The sequence below is a fragment of the Homo sapiens genome, chromosome 17 (genome assembly GCF_000001405.40).
Source record: "Homo sapiens chromosome 17, GRCh38.p14 Primary Assembly".
In the NCBI taxonomy this organism is placed as follows: domain Eukaryota; kingdom Metazoa; phylum Chordata; class Mammalia; order Primates; family Hominidae; genus Homo; species Homo sapiens.
Window position 1 is genome coordinate 30,076,415 of NC_000017.11, and position 22,992 is coordinate 30,099,406.

The 22,992-nt window shown below is 42.3% G+C and overlaps 1 protein-coding gene across 12 annotated transcripts in view; it reads left to right on the forward strand.

Moving 5' to 3' along the window:
• The window catches only part of EFCAB5 (EF-hand calcium binding domain 5), a 178,550-nt gene that overhangs the window by 146,512 nt on the left and 9,046 nt on the right, over window positions 1-22,992 (forward strand). For 7 of the 12 annotated variants that reach the window (XM_024450742.1, XM_024450743.1, XM_011524759.2 and 4 more), the window contains 8 exons: window positions 1,801-2,090; window positions 3,658-3,827; window positions 4,339-4,567; window positions 6,477-6,629; window positions 10,649-10,752; window positions 14,007-14,260; window positions 15,457-15,743; window positions 16,426-16,522. In XM_024450742.1, the coding sequence (XP_024306510.1) occupies window positions 1,801-2,090; window positions 3,658-3,827; window positions 4,339-4,567; window positions 6,477-6,629; window positions 10,649-10,752; window positions 14,007-14,260; window positions 15,457-15,743; window positions 16,426-16,522 (1,584 nt within the window). Of the gene's footprint in view, window positions 1-1,800; window positions 2,091-3,657; window positions 3,828-4,338; window positions 4,568-6,476; window positions 6,630-10,648; window positions 10,753-14,006; window positions 14,261-15,456; window positions 15,744-16,425; window positions 16,523-17,165; window positions 17,890-22,992 lie in introns of those variants that run through there. The other 5 variants (XM_011524763.3, XM_047435947.1, XM_047435946.1 and 2 more) reach the window with 5 other exon arrangements.

Consider the following 22,992-nt stretch of genomic DNA (forward strand, 5'->3'; position numbering starts at 1 on the left):
GAAGTTGTTTCCCCAAAGCAAAATTAGAGATAAAATTACTAAGAGAAAGGTGAGTGGGTGCTAAGGAGCAAAAAATCAATAAATGTTCAACTACAGAAATGAGAAACTCACACATGATGTGATGTCTGCGAGTGCCAGGTAGTATTTGTTAATTGTCAAATAAATGGTGTAGAATAGATGCTATCGTCTTTCAAGAGAAGGAGAAATCACAACGGAAGTCTTCTTGAGGGAGGAGGAACTTTGAACTATACTTTAAAGGGGAAGGGTACATACCCTGTGACTTACTAATTTATAACTGTCAAAGAATCTTGCACATATGCACCAGGAGACATTTACAAAATGCTCATAACACTGTTCATATGAGTAAAATATTGAGAATAACCGAAACACCCACTGACTGTAGAATAAATCAGTAATGATATACTCACATAGTAACACACATTGGTGAAAATGAATGAATCATAGCTACAGTAACAACATAGAAAGATATGTTGAAAAGATAAACAACATGGAAGATATGTAGCATAGTGTTGAATAAAAAAGCATGTCCAGAAAACTACACATAGTTTGCTAACCTTTTTCTAAAGTTTATAAACATGCAAAACTGGCTGGGCACAGTGGCTACACCTGTAATCCCAGCACTTTGGGACGCTGAGGTGGGCAGATCATCTGAGGTCAGGAGTTAGAGACCAGCCTGGCCAGTATAGTGAAACCCCACCTCTACTGAAAATATAAAAATTAGCCAGGCATAGTGGTGCACATCTGTAATCCCAGCTACTTGGGAGGCTGAGGCAGGAGAATCATTTGAATCTGGGAGATGGAGGTTGCAGTAAGCCAAGATTGTGCCACTACACTCCAGCTTGGGCTACAGAGCTAGACTCAGTCTCAAAAAGATAAATAAATAAATAAAAAATGCAAAACGAAACCACGTGTTGTTTAGAAGTGTGTGTGCATATGCGTGTGTGCATGTGTGTGTGTGTATGTGTAGAACACATATATTGCTATGTAACTATAATAACATTGGGAAAATTACAAGAAAGGTAAAGATAAAGCCAAATTCAGGATATCAGTGGGAAGTGTGGGGAGGCAGGGAATGGAATAGGGCAGATCATAGAAGAATATATGTTACTGGTAATGTTCAGGTTTGGTAGTAGGTTCATGATTATACAATTACAAAAATAGAGAAGACATGTGAATACAGAAGTGTGCAAGACATGGACAGGGACCATGAGTAGAATGGAGATACTGCAGTAGATAATTCCTATATGGCCTTACGGGCAGATGTGATTAGAAATAGACTGGATCCAAATATGGTAGGACTTTGAACCAGGGAATTGCATAATGCAAGTTGTGTTTTAATTTAATTTTACAAACACGTATTGAGCATTTACTATTGTTAAGTCAATTACAAAGTGATAAACGCTGGCTCTGGGGTTATGAAAGTATGAAAGGAGAGGAGTGGCCACACTGCCAAAGAGTAACAGGATAGAATTAAGTGGTTTATTGGATATGGAAGGCAAAAGGTAGGGAAGGAGTCAAAGCAAACCTTGAGGTTTCACCAGGCTAGGTGGTAAAATTAAAACAAAACAAAAACAGAAGCTGACACAGGAGTCATATTGAGTTCAACATAGAAATTCATTGTAACATATTCCACTGGGCTCAGAGATGCCTTTGGTATACTTGGTTTTCCAGGAGAGCAGTTGCCCAGGGCTTCAGTTCATCGTAAGAGGAGAATGAAAATCCCCCCCACCAATGAGTGAACTTTTGGTTAGTTCTTGGTTTCGTGTTTGTGTCTTTTAGCTAAACTACACATCCAATTTCCAAAGCCACACCCTGGTCACGAAGTGAGATTGTCTTCAAAACAATTTCAGAATTACATAGAATTGGTTGTGTCTGAACTCAGGGGCAATGAAGACCAAGTTCTGGAAAGTGTTGTGGAATTTCTGATGAATGCTTTAGAGAGGAGCCACATTGAGAGTCTGAGGAATTCTGCCAGGCGGAAATGGCTGCACCAAATCCAATGTGCTGCAGAGACAAGTGGGGTGTCCCTAGAGCCGGTGTATAGTGAGACCTTTAAGGCCCTCATGCAGGTACGTTTCCTAAAGCAGTATGTAAGAGGAAACATTTCCTCAAAGTAGGCGATGTTCAATGTTTGCAAAAGAGGAGCATCTTGAATTCTCTTGAAAAATCACTGGGTGCTGCTGTAGATATTTTATTCATTCCAGTCCATTACAAATGGCCCAAAGCCTAGGAGAGATACAACTGGAGTGACTGCTGGTTGACAAGATAGAAGCAGAGGAGAAAGGTAGAAAAGACAGATGTAGAAAAGATGTCTTGGGATTTCTAATTTCATTTCTGCTAAGAGTCAAATAAGCCTAGAATGGACAATAGACAGATTATGAACAATATCAGTAAGGAGATGTACAAGCAGTTCAAGCTACATTTCCCTTGCATGGTATTTTGGGAGTCAGTTTTAAAAGGAACTATTTAAATCATAAACTCATTATCGAGTCTGACACCACACAATATTTCACAGCATTGCCTAGAAGCAAGCTGAGACTACTGCAGAATCCTGTCACTTAGAACGCATGGCCCTGAGGGGCTACTGCCTACAGCCTTGCCACCTCCTCAGAGACTCCCAGGTTGCTGCTATTCACAGGCAGAAACAGCACAGCCGCCTTCTACATGTATCATAGATTCCACTAATCCAGGGAACCTATGCCAGTCATCTCAGCTAAATAGCGATACTTGCTCAATTGAATCATCTCCTGAATGGCCGAATTTTCCAGTGTAGTTGGAAATGGGGCACCGGGACCAAAAGACCACTCAAGAAGAAGAGGCATTGTTCTAACTTGCTTCAGAGGTCTGTGGTATCCTAAGAGAAATCTCGCTACATATTTGTTAATGACTCCATAGATCTTGTATGTGGAAAGAAGGAATAAAGGCAAAAGAAAAGGGCATGGAAAGCAAACCCAAATATATAGAAAGAGGAGAAAAATATCAAGGAAAGTGTCTCACATGTCCCCAATTTATGGATATGTTTAATGTATATATTGACACATAATATTGTTAATAACATAATAATAATATTTAAGGTACAGAGAATTTATAGTTGCAGAAATAGTAGTTGCAGAAAGTCTGCAATCTTGGGCCACAAAAAAATCCTTCCTGAAATTACATAGATCAAATATACAAAGTGTGTTAAGAGTTCCTCGAGAGCATTTTTTTTCACTTTCACATCACAGTCGACGGTCAAGAAATATGAGTGAAGTGAAGGCAACTTCTTGGCCCAGCTCTCTCTCTCTCAAATCAACACTTTCAATAGAAACACAGACAGTTGACCATAGGTCAAAGGAATCCAAGTTTTAAACCTCTAAATTTGAGTAGACTTGAGAGTTTTTTGGTTTTGTTTTTCTTTTCTGGTAAACCAGTCCAGTTGGCATAGAAGAAACCCGTTATACCCACTGAAACTCAGACTTACAGGATAGCTATGCTGTCAACCTTTTCCCCACTGCCCATGAATAGTAATATATGCATTCTTTATTCAGGAAAATGAAACTACTGGGGCAAGATGCATGAATTAACTAGTAAGGGGGACATGATTAGGGGAGTTCTTTGGCTGTTGGCAAACACATGGTCGGAAACGTTTTGCTGTAGGATGCTGAAGCCCATGGAAATAAAAAGATCAGTGCTCACATTTCCCTCTTAGAAGAAAACCTACTACTGCCTGAGAAAGGGAATGTTCTATTGAGGAATGTGGCTTGTACCTTAGATGATGCTCAATTTGTACTGAACAGAGTGCTCTACAGGGACATGAAAGGAATCAGGTAAGAACTTCTTGAAGAGATTGGTTTCACCCTCCTAAAAAAATAATTCCCTTTCTGAGTAAACTGGCATCAAGATCCCAGCTAGCTGCTCAAAAGAGAGGTGCCTCAAGTCACCAGTGCTTCTGGAGTAGAAGCTGATGGCTTCCAGTCCTGGATGATTTCACTTATTTCTAGAGCTCGCTCTTTGGTAATGATTCGCCACATGGGGACTCTGCGTCACAATATCATCTCAATTATTTCTGCCTGCTCCATAAGTTATGTCTCTGGAGTTCTGTTTATATTTGTTTTCTATGTCCACATCCAAGCTTGTTTTTTTTTTTTTTGTTTGTTTGTTTTGTTTTTGTTTTAGTCTTTCTCAAGTCAGACCTCCAAACTGGTCATCTTATCTGAGTCCACTGCTCGGTCATATAATGCCACAGATTGTGAATAGAGAATCGCTCTAGTTTCCTCCATGGTTTAATCTAAATCTCTCCCTGTGCCTTTCTTCCATCCTCATACTCTTTTTCCTCAGCTTTACAGTAGTGGATGAAGGGAAGCCAATCCATGTTCCCCAAGTTCAGTACCATGGGAACATCTTCTTCTGGAACCAGTCCCGTAATAAGCATGATTATAATGGTTCATTCCTGGCTCTGCCTCTTCAAGATGCATATATGAGGATCTTTGGGGTCTTGGCTGTTGATACCCTTAGAGATCCCCACGAAATAAACATCTTTCTACCTCATGAGATCAGATTCTATCAGGTAAGTCATAGAAGTCTTCAAGAGCGATGGTAGGATGGCCTCTCTTTCTAATACTTTTTAAAGAGTGAAACCTGAAATCCGATGAGAGTAAAGCTGTGTATACAGATAACATCATCATACTTGCTCCTGTTCCCTGAATGTATGTTTCAGTCTTTTGAGAAGTTCCCCATTACTTATGGAAGGACTTTCAGCCTCAGTTACATATCCATGCCTCAGCCTCATGTGTCCCATAGCATTAATCACAGGAATAGAATTTTATGCTACAGAACAGAAATCCAACCATTGACCATTAAGACCCACAAAGCGGGAATGAACTTTTAGAAGGGACGTATTTGTGTTTTACTAACAGTGGTATCTATCTAGAAATCTTTTGTACTTTCTACAAATGGTACTAATTCTGATATGCATCCCCATAGGTCTTGATTTCAGTGTTATAATTTTTGAGGATGAAAAATAAAGAAAAAGGCCTAAATGTTTCTTGGGTATTCATGTTTTTAAATTAGATCACAAAATGATAGGCACTTTTAAGATCATGAAATAGCTAGACCATTTCTACAAGCATTTTTATTTAATTTATGGATAGAACTTGCAATAAAGGAAGATCAAAAGCCTTTATGGAGACAATGAACTGTGGAGTCTAGCAGCAAGTTAGGAACTTGAACTTGCTATGCCCTTATCATTTGTTGCCCTGTAAGCCTTTGGCTCTTTATGTTTATTTACCATTATTTTTCACTTTCTCTTCCCATTTATTGGGTGGATAGTTGAGGAAAGTGGTAGTACCTCTTTCTCTGGACACATTTTCAATAATAAAATTCATTCTCATCTGACACAAGAATTATGTGAAGATATTAAAATGGAGGAGTATGGAGTTATCAGTAGGTGAAGTATATATAGTCTTGCTAGAGAGCTTTTCAAAATGAATTATACATTGGCACTCTAGCCCTTAGAGGTAAAGGCTTCTGGGTTACCCTTAGATGCCTTGAGTCCTAATATAAAAGGCATATAATTTTGAAGAGTTTGTGATTCCTAGAGTTTCCTGACAACAGGCCCACATATGGGTTCTAAAGATTTCCCATCCCTTCTCTGTGGAACAGGGTCTCCTTATGCCTGTAAGAGGACTACGTAATCTAGCACACTGTGGGTCTTGGAACCAAACATGTCCTATACTGTCGATCTGATGATAGTGGCCATGTCTGCACAGATGCAGGCATTAACATTGGCATCCGATCAAGGCAGCTCCTACCCACCTGCCTAAGATTGGCATTCGTTCTTGGCTTTTTAACATTTTTTTCTCATTTCAAAGTTTATCTTGTTCCTTTGATGCTATTCTCTAATAGCACATACCACAAATTTCACTGGATGACTATCAAAAGCATAAAAAGGTATGTGGGTCTCTCTCTTTATACCTCTTTTTTTTTTTTTTTTTTTTTTGTGAGACTTGCTCTGTTGCCCAGATTGGAGTGCAGTGTTGCGATCTCAGCTCACTGCAACCTCCACCTCCTGAGTTCAAGCAATTGTCCTGCCTCAGCCTCCTGAGTAGCTGGGATTACAGGTGTGCACCACCATGCCCAGCTAATATTTGTATTTTTAGTAGAGACAGGGTTTCACCATGTTGGCCAGGCTGGTCTCAGACTCCTGACCTCAAGTGATCCGCCCTGCCTTGGCCTCCCAAAGTGCTGGGATTACAGGCATGAGCCATGGCACCTGGCCTATAACTTTGATTTCTTGATGATCCTTTTTTTTAATAGTAGAATCTGGAACACTGCCCTTTGAGGACTGCTGAATAATTTGTAGGAAGTAGATTATCATGAAGTAATTAAATTACTGGTAAAGGTAATCCAATTACTATATTACTAATTATTTTTCTATTTTAAAAAGAATAGGCTATTTGAATTTTCTGTCTCTACAGGGTGTTGCTAATGTCTTTAGCACTGCCTATCACTACGTCCACAGCCGGGAGCACATTCTGCATATTGTGATCACTGGCATAGGCTGGCTTTATGACGTCACATCCAGCATCACCTCCATCACTACGTACTTTGTAGAGCCTAGCCCAGCCCAGGTAGGCAAGGCTCAGTAGTGGTAGATCTCTCCAAGGTAGCCGAGTGTCTAGATGTTATTTCTTGCTAATATTTGAAAACCATATTAATTAGCTATTAGTCTAAAGGAAGACAGATTTCCCAATACAAGACCCTTGGTTGTGAGTGACAGGAATCCATCTCAAATTGCCTTAGGCAAAAGGGAGAATTAACTGACTCACGTGACCAAAATGAAGACAGGGCAGGAGTCAAGCTATCTTTCAGGATGGCCAGATCCAGGGACTTGAAGCCATCAGGGCTCTCTTGTGTTCATCTCTCCACTTCTCATGTTTGTTTCCCTCTGTACATTGGTTTTGTTCTTCCAGCTAAAGATGGGCTTTTTCTGCAGAGCAAGTCAGATGCTTACTAAAAGCATCCTGTAAAAAGTTCCAGTTTGGAAAACCCAAGAAAGAAGACGGAGTCTCGCTCTTGTTGCCCAGGCTGGAGTGCAATAGCGCAATCTCAGCTTACCTCAACCTCCGCCACCCGGGCTCAAGCAAGTCCCCTGCCTCAGCCTCCCGAGTAGCTGGGATTACAGGCATGCGCCACCACGCCAAGCTAATTTTGTATTTTTAGTAGAGGCGGGGTTTCTCCATATTGGTCAGGCTAGTCTTGAACTCCCGACCTCAGATGATCCAGCCACCTCAGCCTCCCAAAATGCTAGAATTACAGGCGTGAGCCACAGTGCCCGGCCAGAAAACTCTTTTTGACTTATCCTGAGATACATACCCCTGGCCAGAGTGTGGAGTTCACAGTAATGGGCAACACTCACCAGAATCATATGGGTGGAGTGGGAAGGGACTAGGAGCTGCTGTTTTGGAAGGACTCAGTTATATGACACCGATTTTTTTAAGCCCTCCTATCCATAATGTCATGAATTCTTGCTGACTGTTTGCTTTGCTTCTTTATACTTTGTGTTAGGATTTTGCATATGATGAGAGTGGGTGGAAAGGTTTTTCCTTTCAGAAAGGCTGAATGACTCTGGGAGGTGCTTGGTTGGGTGGTAGTGTCACCTGGTTGTCTCCCAGTCCCTTGGCTGGCCCACACAGGCATGTCCACACTTCCCTCCGGGCTGCTTCTTTCCTTTTTCCCACCAGGTCCCTACTTCCCTCCCTCAGTAGCTAGGTCAATCTGATGAGGCCTTGGTCAATGAGGGCAGAATCATGGAGCTCTCTTGTGGGGTGGCCAGGCCATGGGAGCCTCCAAGGGCACTTAGGCCTGGGGCAGAGCACCCTGTTTGAAGGGCCCCAGCTACAATGGCCCTTCAAAGCACATGGGGCCCCAGGGAAGATTCAGAAGAACATCGTCAGGGCCTTAAGAGAAACAACACATAGGGCACCATGGAAAAGCCAAAATAGCCCAAAGCAGCAGCAAGAAGCATGACTTCAGCGGCTGTAAGTTCAGAACCAAGAGTCCACAGACAAAGCCACCAGGGTCACACCCCATCTGACCTGGACCATCTCATAGTGGTGAAGAAGATCCTGCCAAAAGTCGGGGGAGAGAAGGACCACCCAGCAGTCGGGTTGTGAGTGAGATCATGGTGGGGCAGAGACCAGAACAGCCTGTCTAAGCTCTTTTCAAGCACTCAACGATCATAACTTCCTAAGCCTCCCTCTTCCCCTTCTGCAGCCCCTCCAGATTCACATTTCTCTCTCTTCTCCAGGCTGCTCTGTGTCTCAAAGATAAACCAGTATCCATGGGCTCTTTGGCCCTTTGGCTTCTGCTTGCATTTGTCCAATGACAGCTGCCAACAGGACACTGGAGGGCAGAAGTAGAGTGCAACTGGGGCATTGATGCTTCTGTTTCCCTCTCTGTCAGGTTGCTGTGGGTTAGCTGTGTTTCTCTCCTAAAGGCCACTTCACCTTTCATCAGGCAGTCCTCTCCACACAGCTGTCCTTTGTCGGTTCTGGTCATTGCTTCCCCCGTCCCCGCCCCCTCTCCCCGCCTCTTCAGGCTAAGAGTGGTAACAGCTCTTCCTTATTACCAGGTTGGAATTCTAAACACTGCCTTCATAAATAGTCCCTTTATTAAACGCCCCTTAAATTACCCAGCTGTGGCAATCTGCTTCCTTGTGATACCCTGACTGATACGAATTATAAAGTAAATCCTGTGATACTCCCCCTCACCTCAAGCCCATGTTCCTGTAAGGTACAGAGTCATAGAGGAAAAAAATTACTGCTCTGTTAACAGTAACCATAGATGAGTAAAAACAGATTCAAATTCTCTTAGGTATGAAATTCAGGGTATTTTAGCTTATCACCCCAAAGCACCTCTGTCTATTTCTTTGGAGTACCGAACTTATTAAATAGGTAACTGCATCAGGCACAATAATGCCTTCCCATAAGATGTCCATGTCCAAATTCCTGGAATCTGTGAGTATGTCAGTTTACATGGCTCACGCCTGTAATCCCAGCACTTTGGGAGGCTGAGGCGGGCAGATCACGAGGTCAGGAGATCGAGACCATCCTGGCTAACATGGTGAAACCCCGTCTCTACTAAAAATACAAAAAAATTAGCCGGGCGCGGTGGCGGGCGCCTGTCCCAGCTTCTTGGGAGGCTGAGGCAGGAGAATGGCGTGAACCCGGAAGAGGCAGAGCTTGCACTGAGCCGAGATCACGCCACTGCATTGCAGCCTGGGCGACACAGCGAGACTCCGTCTCAAAAAAAAAAAAAAAAAAAGAAAAGAAAAGAAATAAATTTGGAAAGAAGCTAGAAGTCCAATCGTCAATGTGCGATAATCTTAACAGTTTTCCAAGGATAACGTTGACAACATTTCCCTTCTAAAGAGTTTGGAAGAACCCTTGATGTCATGGAGTATAGAGGCAAGAGGAAATTTCACATTACAAAACAGCTGTTCCTCTTCCAAGCACCATTCAACATGCAGCCCCTATGGATCCTCTTATCATATTTTTAATTTGTTCCAATAATTAGTTATCTTTATTTTTATTTTTTTAGAGACAAGGTCTCACTCTGTTGCCCAGGCTGAAGTGCAGTGACATGATCAGAGCTCACAGTAACCTTGAACTCCGAGACTCAAGCGATCCTCCTGCCTCAACCTCCGGGGTAGCTAAGACTACAGGCATGCCCCAAGAATTTTTTTTTTAAAGGAATGATTCATAAAAACCCCTCTTTACATCTCTTAATTGAATTTGTGTTTCCTACAGTTACTGTATTTACAGAATATGTTAATATACGTTCTTATAAACTAGTTTCTACGAAAAAATATTGATCAAGACTCATTAAAATATTTTCACAACCCACATGTAAGTTGTGGGTTGACCTACAGTTTGAAAACTTCTTAGAAGTAAGGGAGATAAAGAAGCAGGGAGAATGAAGATTGTTTAGTGAGGTAGAAGGAGAACCAGGAGAGAGTGTCGTCCCAATAGCGAAGTGAAGAAAGTAAATTGGCCAGGTGGTGGCTCACACCTGTAATCCCAGCACTTTGGGAGGTCGAGGTGGGTGGATCACCTGAGGTCAGGAGTTCGAGACCAGCCTGGCCAACATGGTTAAACCCTGTCTCTACTAAAGATACAAAAAAAAAAATTAGCCGGGGCCGGGTGTGGTGGCTCACGCCTGTAATCTCAGCACTTTGGGAGGCCAAGGCAGGTGGATCACATGAGGTGAGGAGTTCAAGACCAGCCTGGTCAACATGGTGAAACTCTGTCTCTACCAAAAATACAAAATTAGCTGGGTATGGTGGTGCATGCCTATAATCCCAGCTACTTGGGAGGCTGAGGCAGGAGAATTGCTTGAACCCAGGAGGCAGAGATTGTGGTGAGCCAAGATCGTGCTATTGCACTCCAACCTGGGCAACAAGAGTGAAACTCCATCTCGAAAAAAAAAAATTATCCTGTTCTCTAATGGTACTAAGTAAAATGTCACTGTCCTTAAAGCCAGAGGTCATCTAAGCTTTCCTATTTTTTTTCTATTTATCTGTCCCCAAAAGCTTTAATGAGAATATGAGGTCTAATTACTCCTAATGAAATGCCTTCCTCTTTTCAAGGATTCAGACTATGTTTTACGCAACATGATGGTTACAGGGCAGCTGGGTCTAACAGAAATCCACAAAAATCCTCCTACCATCCACAGGAAGTCATGCATCTTCAGGTTAGAGACATGTCTGTTTTGTTTGACTGCTAGAACACATCCTTCTGGTACAATAGTAGACCTGAAAGACACAGCTTCTGACTCTTGCTCATACACGCTGACTTTTATTCTTTCTTTTTAATTTAATTTTATTTTATTTTAAGTTCTGTGATACATGTGCAGGACGTGCAGGTTTGTTACACAGGTAAACTTGTGCCATGGTGGTTTGCTGCACCTATCAACCCATCACCTAGGTATTAAGCCCCGCATGCATTAGCTATTTTTTCCTAATGTTCTCCCTACCCTCGCCCCCTTGACAGGCCCCAGTGTGTGCCCTTCCCTGTGTCCATGTGTTCTCATTGTTCAGCTCCCACTTATAAGTGAGAACATGTGGTGTTTGGTTTTCTGTTCCTGTGTTAGTTTGCTGAAGATAATGACTTCCGGTTCCATCCATGTCCCTGCAAAGGACATGATCTCATTCCTCTTTATGGCTGCATAGTATTCCATGATGTGTGTGTATACCACATTTTCTTTATCCATTCTATCATTGATGGGCATTTGGGTTGATTCCATGTCTTTGCTACTGTGAATAGTGCTGCAATGAACATATGTGTGCATGTATCTTTATAATATAATGATTTATATTCCTTTGGGTATATACCCGCTAATGGGATTGCTGGGTCAAATGGTATTTCAGGTTCTAGGCCTTTGAGGAATCACCACACTGTCTTCCACAATGGTTAAACTAATTTGCATTCCCGCCAGCAGTGTAAAAGCGTTCCTACTTTTCCACAGTCTTGCCAGCATCTCTTGTTTTTTGACTTAAGATCACCATTCTGACTGGTATGAGATGATGTCTCATTGGGGTTTTGATTTGCATTTCTCTAATGATCACACTGAATTTTATTCTGATTGGCTTTTAAAGAAAAATTTCTGCAGAATGTTGTCTGCCTGGGACATATTTACTCTTTTTTTCCCAAATCCTTTTTTCTTGAGAGATGAGTTCTCACTGTGTCACCCAGGTGGGAGTGCAGTGCTATGATCTTAGCTCATGGCAGTCTCAAACTCCTGGACTCAAGCTAACCTCCTGCCTCTGCTTCCCAAATAGCTGGGACTACACGTATTTGCTAAGCCCAGCTCATTTAATTTTTTTTTTTAAGAGACAGGGTCTCTTTATGGTGCCCAGCCTTCCCAAGTCCTTTTTAAAACAGATTTCATTGGCATTTTATTTTAAAATTGCATGTTTTAAAGCATGAAAGTGTTTTATTTTCCATGAATTTCCTTGTAAATATGGAATTCAACAAAAGCCCACCATGATTATGAATAATACATTCACATCACTCATCAGAGCTCATGTGTGAATATTAGCAAGACTGTGAATGTCTTTTTTATTTAAAGAAGACATGCAGAGTTGGAGAGAAGGCAAAGCATGTTGTATTTAATAAGTACTCGGTTCTAAATTACTTAGAATGACTCTCACTTGTCAAATGCAAGGAATACTACTAAAATGTGTACAAATGTAAACAGATCTTAACTGAGAACACACCTATTGCAAAAGGGAATGACTGCTTCTTAGGGGGTCACTGTCGTTGAGTAGGCGGTAACTCAGTAATCCCAGACCAGTAGGCTAACTCAACATTTAATTACATATGTCAATTAAATTTTAGTTTGGCCTCATGCCAGAATGTTGGTTCAATCTCAAGCTCTTTTCCACATAGTTATTCCTTGTGCTGGTCAAAAGTTTTACAGAAGTCCTTGTAATACCCAGACTCATAGCCCTGGATTCTTTTTTTTTATGTATTTTTTAAATTATACTTTAAGTTCTAGGGTACATGTGCATAACGTGCAGGTTTGTTACATATGTATACATGTGCCATGTTGGTGTGCTGCGCCCGTTAACTTGTCATTTACATTAGGTATATCTACTAATGCTATCCCTCCCCCTTCCCTCCACCCCACGACAGGCCCCGGTGTGTGATGTTCCCCACCCTGTGTCCAAGTGTTCTCATTGTTCAATTCCCACCTATGAGTGGGAACATGCATAGCCCTGGATTCTTGTGTGTAACTTAGAACAGATGTCTTTGGAGGAAGTCAGTTGACCAATGGGCTCTATTGTTATTCCTGGAAAGCCTAGTATGATGCATTATTACTATGGCACTCATCGAGACACAACACAAAGTGGTGGCTCAGCAGCAGCAAAAGGGGTGGGAATAGCAGAAGGACATCATCTTACCTGTCACTGTAGGATTGATATAGAAACTATAAATGCGCTTTTCGAGGATGCAAAGTACCAATTTTTTACAAATACCTTAAAGAAATGGCATATCAGAATTAATGTAGATGGGGAAAGGGAAAAGAAAGAAAAAGAGGTGTGTCTGTGCCTCACCAAGAGAAAGAAGCAGCCACCACATTTCCATGAAAATCTCAAGTCTCTCACTGAGGCAGATGCTATAGATGCTCTACCCAGATCCCCAAAATGCCTTTTACCAGCTGCTGTAGGCACGGCCTGGCTCACACCGTAACTTTCTCTGGAGGAGCGCCCTTGAGCGATTGGAGCTCTTCACCAGGAGTTACCTAAGAGATGGGTAAACACTCCCCCAGCCCAAACTGCCCACACACACCCAGGGCAGCTTAGAGCCAATGACTGACTAGTGCTAGGATGCAAAAAACCCCTCCCTTTGCCTCAAGGTGGGACAGATTCTTTGGTACAATTGACCTTTCAGAGCTCCCCTTGGGATCAGGCCGAGGCTAGACTTCATGTGAAATTACATTCTTACTTAGCTTCTTCCCCTTGCCTGTCCTGCTTCATTCAGTCCCTCACAGGTTTCTCCAGCGAACACTCGCTCAGTAAATCACTTGCATAAGCATCCCTGTCTCAGGCTCTGCTTCTAGGGAACCCGACCTAACACACTCATCATTTCTGCTGGCACTCCACCAAAGCATAATGGACAATAGGTAAACAAAAAATGAACACCTTCAGATAAGCCAAGACAACGAAGCAAAGTATCATGATGGAGAGTGGCTTGGGCGCTGCTTGAGATTGGGTGGTCAGGGACGCCTTCTCTGCCGAGGGGATGTTTGAGCAGAGACATGAGTGAGCAAACAGACAGCCATGTGAAATCAAGGGCTAGAATGCTCCAGGCAGATGAAACAGCAAGAAGGGCTGGCATGGTGGAAGTGAGGTAGGCACAAGAGAGTAATTCAATATGTTTTGGTGGAATGATGTGAACAGACAGATGTTTAATATCCTTGTGCTTATTTGGTTTTGATTTCAGAGATTTCCTCTTTAAATGTACTGACAGTTCAGAAGTTGTTCTGGCTTCTGCCTGTGGAGAAACGCATATAGTAGTTCCACTTCGTGAGAGAACAGGAGAGGCTCTGGGAGTCCTCGATTTTAACATCGGCCAAAATAGGATGTTGTTGTGTCAAGAATATAAAGATCTACAGAAAATGATGAAAGTGGTCCAAGTGGCCTGCTATGAAATACTTGGCGAGTTCTCTGGAGAGATAAAGAAAAAATATATCTTAGGTATCGTTCATGTGGCATCAGTCTAAATTCACAGGTTTAATAGGTTTTGGGGAAATCACAGGGAGTGCAATGAAATATGCACTTTCTAAAATGAATTGTTACAACATACACATCTTTTCATATAAAAGGAATTCCCTTATGCAGTCTTGCGCTGACGAGTAATGTCTACAAATTAAAGGAAACAGCCTGGAATCACATTCTCATGGTTAGATTCCTACAGTTTTAGAGCTGGAAGGGCTCATAAAGGCAAGCTAGAACTAGCATGTATTAAATACCCCCATTATGTGCTTCAGATATTATTTCATTCAATCCTTGCCATAACCCTATGAGATGAATAGTGATACCCCACTTACAGGTGAGGAAAGTAAGCAAATTGCCCCCAGTCACACAGTTAAGAAATGGTGAGGGCTGGATTTGAACCTAGATTTGGGTGCTCTTCCCACTATGTTATACAGCATTAAGTAATCAGAACATCTCGTTTTACAGATAAAGATGCTAAAGACTGCAAAAGTAAAGTGGATTATCTAAGGTCCAATAGCAAGCTGGTGGGAGAGCCAGGATTAGACTTTAGTTTTTGTGATTCCACATCCACTAGGCTACTCTCAGCGCAATGCCAGCTGGAGAGAGGGAGGGAGGAAGAAGGCCTGGAAACCTTTGGCTTCCTAGAATGAAGTGAATAGAATTAGCAGAGTAACACTATGTGGGATTGAGCCAAAAGATTTGTAACTATGTCATAGAGTGGGATAAGAAGAAAGGAGAAATTTCATGTCTCCTAAGTGTTCACTATGTGTAACGCCTGTAACTAAGCACTTTTACATATATCATCTTCTCTAATTCTCACAGCTAACCAAGGAAGTAGGGATTAAGCCCATTTTCACAGAAGAGGAAAAGGATATTCAGAGAGACAATAGACTAATAAGGGTGACAGCGTGTGTTCAAACCAGGGTCTAACTCTAAAACCCAAGTTTTTGCCTTTTCTCAAAGCCTCTTCCTATGAGCTTCACCGGGAGTAATTTCATTGCTTTCTTTTGATTTCATGGCTAAAGAAACTGAGATTGTTTAAAACCAAAGGCTATGGTCTGCTTTTTCTTGACAAAAACATTTACTATAATATGTTCAGAATCCTATGAAAAAGTAATGTACAGCAATGTACATTAGACTGAACAGCAATGTGAGCTATCATTTTGTTATTCCAGAGATTGAAAATGTCAGGGAAGTCCAGCGGGCAGGAATTCTCTTCTTCCGAATCATGCTGCTCGAGCTACAGGAAAGCATCCAACTACTCAATTCCATGGAATTTGTGTCACTGTTGCTCTATGACCATACTCTTGTAACAGAGCCAAATTCTCCTCAAGACAGCAAATCTATGGAGTTGGAAGCCAACGTGAAACTAGTGCGTGACATCCTGAAGGCGGTTATCTTGTTCTTTCATCCAGAGTTGGAATTTTCAAGTGACTTTGGAAGTTGGGATAAGTGTAAATTTGTAAGTTTTTTTTTAAAAAGCACCTTTTAAATTGAAGAATCGCCTAAACAAATTTAACTGTACAAATCATAATTGCATAAATCATAAGGGTACAAATGCAAGAATTTTTACTGAGTGGAACACGTTCACGTAACCAGACCTAGATCAAGAAATAGAGCATTTATGGAATCCCAAAAGCTCTCCTTTGTACCCTTCCTCATCATCCCTTCACCCCACCCACCCCAAGGGTAACCATCATCTTTTTTTTGAGACGGAGTTTCACTCTTGTTGCCCAGGCTGGAGTGCGATGGCGCTATCTCGGCTCACTGCAACCTCCACCTCCTGGGTTCAAGCAATTCTCCTGCCTCAGCCTCTCGAGTAGCTGGGATTACAGGTGCCCGCCACCACGCCCAGCTAATTTTCTGTATTTTTAGTTGAAACTGGGTTTCACCATGTTAGCCAGGCTGGTCTCGAACTCCTGACCTCAGGTGGTCCTCCCACCTGGGCTTCTCAAAGTGCTGGGATTACAGGCGTGAGCCACCACACCCGGCCATGGGTAACCATCATCTTCACTTCTAACACCATTGATTGGTTTTGCCTATTTTAAAATCTATATAAATGGAATTATGTAAGCTGTTGAACTGGGCACTGTATTTCTGCTTCCTGGTGATCCCATAAATTTTCTCTTGTTGTTTGTTCACAGTATGTTAACAAATATTTAGTCAACAATATTTGTGCCTTTGATCCAACTGCCAAGCATGTGGAAGTTAATGTACAGCTTATTGATGAATATATCAGAGGTAAATTTCCACTTAATTACAGCCTAAATCTATGCCAACAGCAATAAAACACAGTTGTGATTTTTATTAGGATAAAGCAAGTGGGTCATAAATTCAGTTTTTAGGAGAAAATAGTTATAAGTCTTCTAAGAGGAGGGACACTATGTAATCTATTGCATCATTCCCCAAAGTCATTGTCTATGCCACATTTTGAGAATTCAAAAGCACATCTATCTCCCACTTATTGACTACATGTGCATTATTTATTTTTAAAAATGCAAATGGGGCTGCAATGAGAATGGAAATTTTAAGCAAAAAGGCTATCTTTAGCTTAATAAATAACCAAAGAAAATAATAGACTTTTTCAAGGAGGAGAATCACCAAGAATGGAGAGCAGCGAGGCTCTCAGGTTGGAGAAGACGATTAGCTGTTTGGCCACAGGGAATAGGCCACATATGAGAGTAAATATACAAACAGAGGCCCAAGGTCCTCCACTGACCTGTATTCTCCCACCAGAGGCCTCAGGCTGTGATGAGGAATTCATTTATAGTTTGTTTTTTTCTTTGTTATGAAAAGTAATCATAATTGGGAAAATGGCTCTGTAGAAATTGCTCACTAAATCTATCCCTTTCCTCCTCTTCCCGCTCTCCTACTATCTGTGGAGGCTCTAGACCAACGCAGAAGAGTTTCTGGATTAACGGGGAACTATCCTAGCTTATTCCTGAGAAGCCTTGACCACCAACGCTACCCACCACTTTCTGCTTTCCAATAGTGCCCTCTGGTGGAAGAAATATTAATTGCAGTTAACGGAGCCCGACTCAGCCAGAAAATAGCCCATAGGCTCCCCAATCACCACCGCCAAGCCTTTAGTGTTAACCACAGTCTCCGCAGCAATCAAGAAAGTTCGTAGGTCACCCAGATACCAACCCTCTCTCCTTCAGATGCAGTTATATCAGGAAATTCTAAGCTTCCAGCTTAGGGGAAGGGAGAGGAATTCTTCGGGGTGCCTTTCTGTTTGTGCCAGAAGGAGAGGAGTCTTCAGGCAGGGCAATCTGCTGCTGGAAGTTTACCTGGCCTAGCAGCTTTAAGTAAGGGCCCTACTCCACGAATCTACCCAGAATGAAATGTCACCAATAATACCTGTAGGTTCAGCCTGTGACAGGCAGAGACTGCTGGACTATATAGCATAGCTCCTAACCCACCACGCCTTCCAAACTATTATTTTACCAAAAGGGCAGAATTAGGACTGGTAATGTGTCCATACTTTCTTAGGGCTTCCGCTGCCAACTCTCACCCCCACTTCATCCTAGTTCAGGAAAAGAGTATTTCCTAATGTAAATGACGAGTTGATGGGTGCAGCAAACAAACATGGCACATGTATACCTATGTAACAAACCTGCATGTTGTGCACATGTGCCCTAAAACTTACAGTATAATAATAATTTTTTTAAAAAGAAAGAAAAGGGTATTTTTGGCCAGGCACAGTGACTCACACCTGTAATCCCGACACTTTGGGAGGCCAACGTGGGCAGATTGCTTGAGCCCAGAAGTTGGAGACTAGCGTGGACAACATGGCAAAATCTTGTCTCTCCAAAAAAAAAAAAAAAAAAAAAAAAAAATAACTGGGTGTGGTGGTGCACGCCTGTAATCCCAGCTACTCAGGAGGCTGAGGTGGGAGATCACTTGAGCCCAGGAGGTTGAGGCTGCTGTGAAATGTGATCATGCCACTGCACTCCAGCCTGGGCAACAGAATGAGATCCTGTCTCAAAAACAACAACAACAAAAAGGAGATACTTTTTTTATTCTGATGAAACTCTAGGCAGCTGTGTCTTGCCTTTAGATTGAGCCAGTCATCTGTGAAGTAACATTGGGTAGCTTTGTTGGGCAGGCCTGGCCTCCCAAGACTGTGCCATTGCAGGTGAGTGCTGCTGACATACTTCCCTGTGGGGGACCCTCTGACTCCAGTGAGCACTCCCAGACAGCTGTGTTTGCAGTAGTACATCAATAGCCTACTATTCTCTGTCACTTTGCCTAAGATACTCCTAGTAGTTGGTCTTTTCTACCTGGAGATTCATGACGTGACCACCCTCTCAAGGACCTATTCTCCCCACTCCACTTGGGACCTCTGCTGCCAGCCTCACCTGGTCGTTCAGGATGCCCCATAACTGCTGCATGTCTCCCTCCCAGGAATTTTAGACAGATGTTGCCTGTTTGGAAATGTTCTTAGACCCAGAGGCAAGAAGAGCTGTCCCCTATTGCAAGTATAACCAGAATCACTTTTCTGTGTAGAACCTGGGTCTCTGCCAAGTGACCATACCTCCTCCCCTAAATCCAAGTGTTTACAAGTCCACAGACATTGGTCTTGGCAGGAGTGCCCCCGGCCCTCCACTTCTCCTACAGGGGTCCCAGAGCTCCAACTCTGTCAAAGCAGCCAGAGGCTCAGTGCTGTCACCATTTATAAAGAAACCCACCAGCTTCCTCAATAAAATGACACCATGATCCTCTAAGGGTGACAATGAAGGAAGGTGCCTTCAGGGGAGGACTGCTGGACTCACAGTCCTAATTAACTTTTATCTTCAAGATTCGCCTTCCCTGGGAGATCCTTCCCTAATTGCTACTGCTGCCATCATGGTGGCTCTCATAGGTGCCACGCTCCCTGCAACTCCATTACAAAAATGGAACATGACTCATTCCTTAACTCCCCACTGCACAGCTAAGGACCTGACAGGAACCTTGGTAGAATGATTCTACCGACAATCCAGAAATAACAAGTAGGAAACAGCACTGAATCTGCAACTCTGAGGACATGCCTTTTTCTTTGAAATGGGTCAAGCCAAAATGGACAACCAGACACCAAGAACATTGTTCTGTCCTATTCATTTAAACCTTCTGTATGCTAACATTGGTTTGGATTCAATTACAGTTCTCTGCAGTCTTTTTGGACTTAGTCATCTTGAATGGGAATTGTTGGCTCCCTCTTAAGGAAAAAACTTGCCATCGCAGCTAGACTTGGGTTTAATAGAGAGCTAAGAGTGCACCATTTATTTACAAGTTGCTCACAGATTTTAGGCCATGGAGGAGGAGATATCAGTTCAGCTTGAGAACAGATTTCCTTTGTCCTGGCAAGAGCCCCTTAAAAATGCCTTTTAGTTACGAGTTATGATATTAGACAAGTACTCATACAATGCACAAGAGAAGGGTATAACACTCTGTTCTGGGTAAAGATCTCAGGCCTGGATGTTTGACCTATTTCCCATGCATGCAAACCCCCTGCTTTTCAGTTCCAAGTTATTCAGAGGAAAAAAGACAATCAAACCAGCCATTCTCTTTATGTTTCTTATCACTTCTTGTGATTTAAATTTTGAAATTTTCTAACAGTAGTTATTAAGAGGAACAACTAAATACAGTTTTACATGTATAGATAACATTACTGCTACTTTGATATCTGATTAAAGACTTTTAAAAATGAGCTTGATGAGACGTGGAGCATGGTGGCATGCACCTGTGGTCCCAGCTACTTGGGAAGCTGAGGCACAAGGATTGCTTGGGGCCAGAAGTTCAAGACTATGGTGCACAATGATGGTGCCTGTGAATAGCACTGCACTCCAGCCTGGGCAACATAGTGGATACCGTCTCTAGAAAAAAAACTTGGTTTAATAAGAACATTTTTCTATTTAATTTGACACTCATTGTTTAAAATTTTAGTGGCTGTTAAAACTGTCTTTTATCCTGAAAGCATATATATATATATATATATATATATTTTTTTTTTTTTTTTTTTTGAGATGGAGTCTTGCTCTGTCACCCAGGTTGGAATGCAGTGGCCCAATCTCAGCTCACTGCAACCTCTGACTCCCGGGTTCAAGAGATTCTCCTGCCTCAGCCTCCCCAGTAGCTGGGATTACAGGCACGTGCCACCACGCTTGGCTAATTTTTGTATTTTTAGTAGAGACGGGGTTGCACCATGTTGACCAGGCTGGTCTCGAACTCCTGACCTCAGGTGATCCACCTGCCATGGCTCCCAAAGTGCTGGGGTTACAGGCATGAGCCACCACCCCGGTCACAATTATATACATATACATATACATATACATATACATATACATATACATATACATATACATATACATATACATATATATATATTTTTTTTTTTTTGAGATGGAGTTTCGCTCTTGTTGCCCAGGCTGAAGTGCAGTGGCGCGATCTCGGCTCACCGCAACCTCTGCCTCCCAGGTTCAAGCGATTCTCCTGCCTCAGCCTCCCGAGTAGCTGGGATTACAGGCATGTGCCACCCTGCCCAGCTAATTTTGTATTTTTAGTAGAGGCAGGCTTTCTCCGTCTTGGTCAGACTGGTCTCAAACTCCTGAGCTCAGATGATCCGCCCCCTCGGCCTCCCAAAGTGCTGGGATTACAGGCGTGAGCCACTGAGCTGGCTTTAAATTTTTTATTAAAGTAATTGAAAAGGTCACATAGAACTAAAAGCCTAAAAAGAGTCACTAGCCCATATCTTCTCTTTCATACTCTTCAGTCCCCCTCGCCAGGGGCAACCATGTTTTGTTCTTTCACTGTTTCTTCTTGGCATTTGCACATCTATTTCTGTTATGCACATATTGCTGTCTTTTGATTCATCAATTTTAAACCTTATCAGTCAATTTCCTCTGATTATAAATGAAGATTTTGTTCTGTTATACCACCATTCTCTTACCCCATCCTCCCAATGTAGTTATATTTATAATTTGGGGTTAAAGATGCAATGTTTACATGATTTTGCCTATGCAAATATTATACACAGCTGAGGATTGTAGCATATTTTGATTCCTCATTTTTTTTGTTTTTCCTGAAGTAAATAATTGTCTTTTATTTTTAAACTTTCTTAGTTTTATTTGTACTTCTTGATAATTCCCACCCCTTCCATTTGTCTCTCCCATAAGACAGTTCTATCAGGTAATTTATTAGTTCTAATTTATTTTCTTTTCCCAAAGCCATCTCTTCTAGAGATCTCAGTTCCTCTGTTTTTGTTTTGTTTTGTGTTTTGAGACAGGGCCCCCCTCTATCACTCAGGCTGGAGTGCAGTGCCACAATCACAGCTCACTGCAGCCTCGACCTCCCTGGCTCAAGCAATCCTCTGGGCTCAGGTTTCCAAGTAGCTGGGACTATAGGCACGTGCCACCACACCCAACTAATTTTTTTATTTTTTGTAGAGGTGGGGGTCTCACTATATTACCAGGCTAGTCTTGAACTCCTGACCTCAAGGGATTCTCCCACCTCAGCCTCCCAAAGTGCTGGGATTACAGACGTGAGCCACCATACCCAGGCTTCAATTCTTTCTCTATCAGTGGCTCATGCCTGTAATCCCAGCACTTTGGGAGGCTGAGGTGGGCTGATCGCTTGAGCCCAGGAGTTCAAGAGCAGCCTGGGCAACATACTGAGACCCTGTCTCTGCAAAAAACTTGGAAAAAAAAAAAAGCTGGGAGTAGTGGCATGTGCCTGTAGTTCCAGCTAGTCAGGAGAGCTGAGGTGGGAGGATCGCTTGAACCCAAGAGGTTGAGGCTGCAGTGAGCCATGTTTGCACCACTACACTCCAGCCTGGGCCACAGAACGAGACCCTGTCTACAGAGAAAAAAAAAAAAAAACTCCTGGGCTTAAGCTGTCCTTCCACCTCAGCCTCCCAAGTAGCTACAGGACTGCTGCCACCACACCTGGCTTTCCATTGTCTTTTTTAAAAACTGAGACATAATTCACATGCCATAAATTTCACTCTTTGTACATTTTAAAGTGTAGAATTTAGTGGTTTTGAATATATATCCCAGATTGTGCAGTTATCACCACTATCTAATTTTAGAACATTTTCATCACCCCAAATAGAAACCCTGTACCCATTAGCAGTCACTTCTTTCCTCTCCCTCTAGCTCCTGGGAGCCACTAATCTACTTTATGTCTCTATGGATTTACCTATTCTGGACATTTCATATACATGGAATCACACAATAGGTAGCCGTTTGTATCTGGCTTCTTTCACTCAGCATGTTTTCAAGGTCCATCTATGTTCTAGCTTGTATCAGTACTTCATTTTTGCGTGTGTGGCTGAATAATATTCTATGATAGACAACATTCTGTTTATTCATCTATCAGTTGATGCACATGTAGGTTGTTTCCACTTTTTGGCTACTGAATTATGCCTCCATTAACATTTGTTTACAAGTTTTTGTGTAAACATGTATTTTCAGCTCTCTTGTATACATACCTTTGGAGTGCAAACATATGGTAACTCTATGTTTAACTTTTTTTGGAAAAGACTCCATTGTCATCCAACTTTAAAGATTGCTGTTGACAGCCTGGGCAACATAGTGAGATCCTGTCCCCACAAAAAAAATGAAAAACTTTGCCAGGTCTGGTGGCATATGCCTGTAGTTCCAGCTACTCAAGAAGCTGAGCCCAGTTAAGGCTGCAGTGGGCCATGATCGTGCCACTGCACTCCAGCCTGGGCA